Below are 8,008 nucleotides of genomic sequence, written 5' to 3'. Positions count from 1 at the left end.
AATTTTTGTACTTTTGTAGAGATGGGGTTTCGCCATGTTGGCCAGGCTAGTCTCGAACTCCTGACCTCAGGTGATCCGCCGCCTCGGCCTCCCAAAGTGCTGGGATTACAGGCGTGAGCTGCCACGCCCGGCCCCAGCCTCTTTTTCTTAAAATAGAATTCTCTGAAATTCTAATTTTTATTTATTTATTTATTTAATTTTTTTGAGACAAGAGTCTCACTCTGTCGCCCAGGCTGGAATGCAGGGGTGTGATTTCAGCTCACCACAACCTCCTCCTTCCAGGTTCAAGCAATTCTGCTGCCTCAGCCTCCCAAGTAGCTTGGACTACAGGCATGCACCACCAGGCCTGGCTAATTTTTGTAATTTTTAGTGGAGACGGGGTTTTGCTGTGTTGGCCAGGCTGGTCTCGAACTCCTGACCTCAAGTGATCCACCTGCCTCGGCCTCCCAAAGTGCTGGGATTACAGATGTGAGCCACCGTGCCTGGCCTGATTTTTAATTTTTTAAATTGCTTTTGTTTTTGAGATAGGGTCTCCCTCTGTAATCACAGCTCATTGCAGCCTCAAACTCCAACACTCCAGCAATCCTCCTTCCTTAGCCTCCTCAGCAGCCGAGACTACAGGCACAAACCACCATGCCTGGCTAATTATTTATATTTGTTGGTAGAGATGGCTTTTCATGGTGTTCCCAGGCTGGTCTTGAACTCCTGGGTTCAAGCCGTCCAGCCGCCTCGGCCTCCCAAGATGCTGGGAATACTGGCGTGAGCTACCGCACCTGGCCTGATATTGTTTTCGTGACTATGATGAGAGTTTCTCTCTCCCAAAACTCCCCGGGACTCAGGTGGGATGGGTGATGGGTGGACAGCAGGAAGGACTTCAAACAATCACCCTCCCTTGATGGCAGGTGGGGGAAGGAATATGGGGGAGGGGCAGGGCCAGGCCAAGACTTTGAGGTCGGCTGAGAGGGGAGGCAGTTGCTTAGTGTATCCCCTGCCTGGTGCTGGGAAGGGGTCCCAGCGGCTGGTACACTGGGAAGTTGGGGAGGGGACAGCTCTCCTCTTCCCCTCCTCCCCCTTTTCCCAGAATCTGGAAATGCCTCTCATTAACTTAATCATCTCTAATTAAACCAATTGGATGTGCCTGGGGAGAAGGGAAATTGGGTGGGAGGTTAATTGTAACTAAAAATATCTCCCCCACTTCCTGAGAGGAGGAAGCAGCCACTGGACCTGCGTGTATGGTAGGTTGGCATCTCAGAGCAGGAGGGGCCCCTGGTTCAGGGGCATCCTGGGTCGTGGGGTGAGGACCCAGGGGATAGGCAGGCGGGGCTCGGGGGCTGCAGTTGGTGTGTGTCTGACCCCTGTGTGTCCTCTGGGCCTGTGGACTTGGAATGTGGTGGTCGAGGGCAGTGGTTGAGGGATGTCGGTGTGGCTGGAGGCACCGCCCGTGTCCTGTTGCTGAATGTGGTGTGTGTGTCTGTCGCTGAGTGGCGGTGTCCGTCACACGTGCCTTGGTATAGGTTGTGTGTCTCTGTGTAGGTTCCTGACTGTGACGATGAGACTTTTCATGCGCGTCCGTGTGAAGAGACCACCAAACAGGCTTTGTGTGAGCAATAAAGCTGTTTATTTCACCTGGGGGCAGGAGGGCTGAGTCCAAAAAGAGAGTCAGTGAAGGGAGATAAGGGCGGGGCTGTTTTACAGGATTTGGGTAGGTAAAGGAAAAAGGGGGGTTGTTCTCTGGTGGGCAGGAGTGGGGGGTCACAAGGTACTCAGTGGGGGAGCTTTTGAGCCAGGATGAGCCAGGAGAAGGAATTTCACAAGACAGTGACATCAGTTAAGGCAGGAACAGGCTATTTTCACTTCTTTTGTGGTGGAATGTCATCAGTTAAGGCCGGGTAGGGCATATTCACTTGTTTTGTGATTCTTCAGTTACTTCAGGCCACCTGGGCGTATACGTGCAAGTCACAGGGGATGCGATGGCTTGGCTTGGGCTCAGAGGCCTGACATTCATGCCTTCTTATATTAATAAGAAAAATAAAACAAAATAGTGTTGAAGTGTTGGGGCGGCGAAAATTTTTTTGGGGGGTGGTATGGAGAGAGAATGGGCGATTTCTCGGGGCTGCTTCAAGCGGGATTAGGGGCGGCGTGGGAACCTAGAGTGGGAGAGATTAAGCTGAAGGAAGATTTTGTGGTAAGGGGTGATATTGTGGGGTTGTTAGAAGAAACATTTGTCATTTAGAATTATTGGTGATGGCCTGGGTACAGTTTTGTATGAATTGAAAAACTAAATGGAATAAGAGAAGGAGAAAAACAGGTATAAAATGTCTAAGAATTGGGACGACTCAGGACATCTGATTAGAGAGTGCCTAAGGAGATTCAGCATAGTCCTGCCAGCAAAGATTATTTGTTTACTTCAGGAGTTAAGAGTGGCAGTTTGGGGATAGCACGAGGAGATATCAGCTGTGATGGCTTGGAGAAACAGTGTAAACCGGCAGTGTGAACAAGAGCAGGGCACGTATGAGTAGTTGAGAACGGAGAATAGGAGTATGACTAGACAGAAGATAGTAGGGATGACAAGTTTTTTGGGGGCACAGTCTAAGTTGGTCCGGTGTCTGGAATGAGACTGGGGCCTAATAAAAAGGATTGTCCATACAGGAGCTCAAATAGGCTGTACCCTGCAGCATTCTGAGAAGCGAAAGAGGTAAAAGTATTGTCCAGTCCTTTTTAAGTTGGCGGCTGAGCTTGGTGAGGTGTGTTTTTAAAAGACCTTTAGTCTGTTCTACTTTTCCTGAAGACGGAGGACCGTAAGGGATATAAAGGTTTCACTGAATACTAAGAGCCTGAAAAACTGCTTGGCTGATTTGACTAATAAAGGCTGGTCTGTTATCAGACTGTATAGAGGTGGGAAGGCTAAACTGAGGAATTATGTCTGACAGAAGGGAAGAAATGACTGCGGTGGCCTTCTCAGACCTTGTAGAAAAGGCCTGTACCTATCCAGTGAAAGTGTCTGCCTAGACTAAGAGGTATTTTGGTTTCCTGACTCGGGGCATGTTGAGTAAAGCTAATTTGCCAGTCCTGGGTGGGGGCAAATCCCTGAGCTTGATGTGTAGGGAAGGGAGGGGGCCTGAATAATCCCTGAGGAGTAGTAGAACAGCAGATGGAACACTGAGAAGTGATTTCCTTGAGGACAGATTTCCACGATGGAAAGAAAATGAGAGGTTCTAAGAGGCGGGCTAGTGGCTTGTACTATAGCATAGCCTGCCTTTGCTGGTGTGTGGCGATTAGGCCTGGTGGAACTGCCATCAGTAAATCAAGCGTGATCAGAGTGAGGAACAGGAAAGAAGGAAATATGGGGAAATGGGGTGAATATCAGGTGGATCAGAGAGATACAGTCATGGGGGTCAGGTGTGGTATCAGGAATAATGTGGGAGGCCAGATTGAAGTCCGGGCCAGGAACAATGGTAATTGTGGGACTTAAGAGTGAGTGCAGCTGAAGGAGCCGGGGAGCAGAAAGTACATGCGTCAGGTATGAGGAAGAAAATAGATTTTGGAAGTTATGAGAAATGTAGAGAGTGAGTTGAGCATAGTTTGTGATTTTTAGGGCCTCTAAAAGTATTAAAGCAGCGGCAGCCGCTGCACGCAGACATGAGGGCTAGGCTAAAACAGTAAGGTCAAGTTGTTTGGACAGAAAGGCTACAGGGTGCGGTCCTGGCTCTTGTGTAAGAATTCTGACCACACTAACCATGCCTAGGAAGGAAAGGAGTTGTTTTATAAGGGATTGAGGTTTGGGAGATTAATTGGACACGATCAGCAGGGAGAGCACCTGTGTTTTTATGATAATTATGCTGAGATAGGTAACAGATGAGGATGAAATTTGGGCTTGACTGAAGTAATGGGGGCTGTCTGTGAAGCCTTGCGGCAGTACAGCCCAGGTAGTTTGCTGAGCCTGATGGGTGTCAGGGTCAGTCCAAGTGAAAGCGAAGAGAGGCTGGGATGATGGGTGCAAAGGAAGAGTAAAGAAAGCATGTTTGAGATCCAGAACAGAATAATGGGTTGAGGAGGGAGGTATTGAGGATAGGAGAGTATATGGGTTTGGCACCATGGGGTGGATAGGCAAAACAATTTGGTTGATAAGGCACAGATCCTGAACTAACCTGTAAGGCTTGTCTGGTTTTAGGACAGGTGAAATGGGGGAATTGTAAGGGGAGTTTGTAGGCTTTAAAAGGCCATGCTGTAGCAGGAGAGTGATAACAAGTTTTAATCCTTTTAAAGCGTGCTGTGGGATGGGATATTGGCGTTGAGCGGGGTAAGGGTGATTAGGTTTTAATGGGATGGTGATGGGCATGTGATCGGTTGCCAGGGAAGGAGTAGAGGTATCTTATACTTGTGGGTTAAGGTGGGACACAAGAGGAAGACGCGAAGGAGGCTTTGGGTTGGGAAGAAGGGCGGCAATGAGATGCAGCTGTAGTCCAGGAACAGTCAGGGAAGCAGATAATTTGGTTAAAATATCTCGGCCTAATAAGGGAACTGGGCAGGTGGGGATAACTAAAAGGAGTGCTTTAAAGAGTATCGTCTAAGTTGGCACCAGAGTTGGGGAGTTTTAAAAGGTTTAGAAGCCTGGCTGTCAATACCCACAACAGTTATGGTGGCAGGGAAACAGGCCCTTGAAAATAAGGTAATGTGGAGTGGGTGGCCTCCATATTGATTAAGAAGGGGACGGACTTACCTTCCACTGTGAGAGTTGCATGAAGCTTGGCGTCTGTGATGGTCTAGGGGGCTTCCGAGGCGATCGGGCAGCATCAGTCTTCAGCCGCTAAGCCGAGAAGATCTGGGAAGCAGTCAGAGAGCCTTGGGCCAGAGCTTTAGGGGCTCTAGGAGTGGCTCCTGGGTGAGCTGGGCAGTCTGCCTTCCAGTGGGTCCCTGCACAGATGGGACATGGCTTGGAAGGAATCCTGGGCTGTGGGCATTCCTTGGCCCAGTGGCCAGATTTCTGGCACTTGAAGCAAGATCCTGATGGAGGAAGTCTTGTAGGAATGCTTGACTGCTGCTGCTTAGGCATTTTGAAGTTCTTGTAGCTGGAGGTATGGCTGGGTTTTGTCTCACAGCAGAGACAAGTAATTGTAACTCAGAAATGCGTTGCCATCTGGCTGCTTCCTCTCTATTATTGTACACCTTGAAGGCGAGGTTGCTTAATTCCTGTTGTGGGGTTTGAGGGCCAGATTCTAATTTTTGAAGTTTTTTCCTAATGTCAGGAGTGGACTGAGTGATAAAATGCATATTAAGAATAAGGCGGCCTTCTGGCCCTTCTGGGTCTAGGGCGGTATAGCGTCTAAGTGTTGCTGCTAAGTGGGCCACGAACTGGGCTGGGTTTTCCTCTTTACCTTGGGTAGTTTCTTTAAGTTTGTCATAATTAACAGCTTTGTAAGCTGCCTTTTTAAGCCCTTCAACTAGGTAGGAAACCATGTAATCTCACCTAGCTATACCTGGGGAATTTGCCTGATAGTTCCATTGGGGACCCTCTCGGGGAACTGCTCTACTGCCTTCCTGGAGGTCTGGCTCATGAAGCCGGCGGTTATCAGCGTGAGATTGGGCTAGAGAAAAACTCTTTCCCACTCATCTGGGGAGAGGGCAGAAGTCAGGATGATATTAAGTCACTCCAGGTTAAGTTGTAGGACAGAGTTAGATATCGGAATTCCTGTATATGTTTAGTGGGGTCTGATGAGAAAGAGCCTAAACGCTGACTCACCTGAGAGAGGTCTGATAGAGAAAAACGTACATGTACCCTGACTGTGCCTTCAGCTCCAGCCACCTCTCTAAGAGGAAATTGTTGGGCAGGTGGGGAAGAGCTAGTCGTGGAACTAAACTGTAAGCTGGACAGGGTGTGAGGACACCCTGGGTGTGAGGACGACAGAAGGATTATCGGGTGGAGGAGCGGAGGCTGAGGAAGAATTGGGACTTAGCTCGGCCTGGCGAGGAGGGGAGAGGTCAGATGGGTCTGTAGAAAAGGAAGACTGGAAAGACTCAGCGACGCTTGGGGTTGGGACTGAGGGGACAGGCGGGAGGGAAAGAAGGAGGATTTGGGACGAGTTGCATTGGGAACAGAGACTAGAAAGGGACCGATGTGTAAAAGAATACCTGGACGTCAGGCACCTCAGACCATTTGCCCATTTTTTGACAAAAAATATTTAGGTCTTGTAGGATGGAGAAATCGAAAGTGCTGTTTTCTGGCCATTTAGAGCCATTGCCCAGTTTGTATTGGGGCCAAGCGGTGTTGCAGAAGAAAACAAGGGGTTTAGGTTTTAGGTCAGGTGTGAGTTGAAGAGGTTTTAAGTTCTTGAGAACACAGGCTAAGGGAGAAGAAGGAGGAATGGAGGGTGGAAGGTTGCCCATAGTGAAGGAGGCAAGCCCAGAGAAAAGAGAGCATAGAGACACGGAGGGAAGGGGTTCGGGGGTTCTTACCCTCCAGAAAAGTGGGAAAGGGGTCGGGATGTGGAAATAAGGGATTGGGGGTTCTTGCCCCCTAGAAAAGGTGGAGAAGGGGTAGAGACACAGAAGGGGTTGGGGTACTTGCCCCTCCCCCAGAAAAGCGGGACTTGCCGCTAAGGGTGAAAGACCAAGGCAGGCATCCCTGCGCGGTCTGACACCTCTGAAACCTGGGTGAATAATCAGAGAGGTGTCCCTGCAATGATTAAACACCAAGGGAAGGCTGCCTTCCCAGTCCGTGACCGGCACCGGAGTTTTGGGTCCACAGATAAAACGTGTCTCCTTTGTCTCTACCAGAAAATGAAAGGAATTGAAATTAAGAGAAGGGAGAGATTGAAGTGTGGTGCCAAGATTGAAAGGAGAAAGAGGTTGAGGGATAGTGAGGGAGGTTGGAGAAGAGAGTAAAAAGAGGCCGCTTACCGGATTTGAAATTGGTGAAATGTTTCTTGGGCTGGTGGGTCTGAGGACCTGAGGTCACAGGTGGATCTTTTCTCACGGAGCAAAGAGCAGGAAGACAGGGGATTGATCTCCCAAGGGAGGTCCCCTGATCCGAGTCATGGTACCAAATTTTATGCGCGTCCATGTGAAGAGACCACCAAACAGGCTTTGTGTGAGCAATAAAGATGTTTATTTCACCTGGGTGCAGGAGGGCTGAGTCGGAAAAGAGAGTCAGTGAAGGGAGATAAGGGTGGGGCCGTTTTATAGGATTTGGGTAGGTAAAGGAAAAAGGGGGGTTGTTCTCTGGCGGGCAGGAGTGGGGGGTCACAAGGTGCTCAGTAGGGGAGCTTTTGAGCCAGGATGAGCCAGGAGAAGGAATTTCACAAGATAGTGTCATCAGTTAAGGCAGGAACAAGCTATTTTCAATTCTTTTGTGGTGGAATGTCATCAGTTAAGGTGGGGCAGGGCATATTCACTTGTTGTGTGATTCTTCAGTTACTTCAGGCCACCTGGGCGTATACGTGCAAGTCACAGGGGATGTGATGGCTTGACTTGGGCTCAGAGGCCTGACAAGACTGAACTAGGGTTGGGATTGTGTGACAAGCTGGTCTCTATCAACCGTGTCTGTGTCCACGGCATTGTTGTGTTGCGATCGCGCTCCTCCTAGGTCAGAACTTACAGTGGGAGTTTGGGAGGCCGAAGTGGGTGGATCACCTGAAATCAGGAGTTCAAGACCAGCCTGGCCAACATGGTGAAATCCTGGCTCTTTACAAATACAAAAATTATGGTGGGCACGGTGGCTCTCGCCTGTAATCTCTGCACTTTGGGAGGCCAAGGCAGGCGGATCACTGAGGTCAGGGGTTCGAGACCAGCCTGGCCAACAAGATGAAACCCCATCTCTACTAAAAATACAAAACAATTAGCTGGGTGTGGTGGCGGGTGCCTGTAATCCCTGGCTACTCAGGAGGCTGAGGCAGGAGAATTGCTTGAACCTGGGAGGCGGAGGTTGCAGTGAGCTGAGATTACGCCACTGCACTCCAGCCTGGGTGGACAGAGCAAGAATCGGAAAGCCTGACTCCAATGGGGATAATTG

General features: G+C 49.6%; 3 annotated features.

The window, feature by feature from the left end:
* Nucleotides 1,491-2,158: an enhancer, noted in NCBI's record as "NANOG-H3K27ac-H3K4me1 hESC enhancer chr19:47901415-47902082 (GRCh37/hg19 assembly coordinates)". NCBI's record gives its function as "activates a minimal SCP1, AML or CMV promoter by ChIP-STARR-seq in naive H9 embryonic stem cells {active_cell/tissue: H9 hESC(naive)}" and the evidence as "EXISTENCE:reporter gene assay evidence [ECO:0000049][PMID:30033119]".
* Nucleotides 6,714-7,361: an enhancer, noted in NCBI's record as "NANOG-H3K27ac hESC enhancer chr19:47896212-47896859 (GRCh37/hg19 assembly coordinates)". NCBI's record gives its function as "activates a minimal SCP1, AML or CMV promoter by ChIP-STARR-seq in primed H9 embryonic stem cells {active_cell/tissue: H9 hESC(primed)}" and the evidence as "EXISTENCE:reporter gene assay evidence [ECO:0000049][PMID:30033119]".
* Nucleotides 7,362-8,008: an enhancer, noted in NCBI's record as "NANOG-H3K27ac hESC enhancer chr19:47895565-47896211 (GRCh37/hg19 assembly coordinates)". NCBI's record gives its function as "activates a minimal SCP1, AML or CMV promoter by ChIP-STARR-seq in primed H9 embryonic stem cells {active_cell/tissue: H9 hESC(primed)}" and the evidence as "EXISTENCE:reporter gene assay evidence [ECO:0000049][PMID:30033119]".

This window comes from Homo sapiens, chromosome 19, assembly GCF_000001405.40.
Source record: "Homo sapiens chromosome 19, GRCh38.p14 Primary Assembly".
Classification (NCBI taxonomy): domain Eukaryota; kingdom Metazoa; phylum Chordata; class Mammalia; order Primates; family Hominidae; genus Homo; species Homo sapiens.
This window is presented reverse-complemented; position numbering and strand designations above follow the sequence as displayed.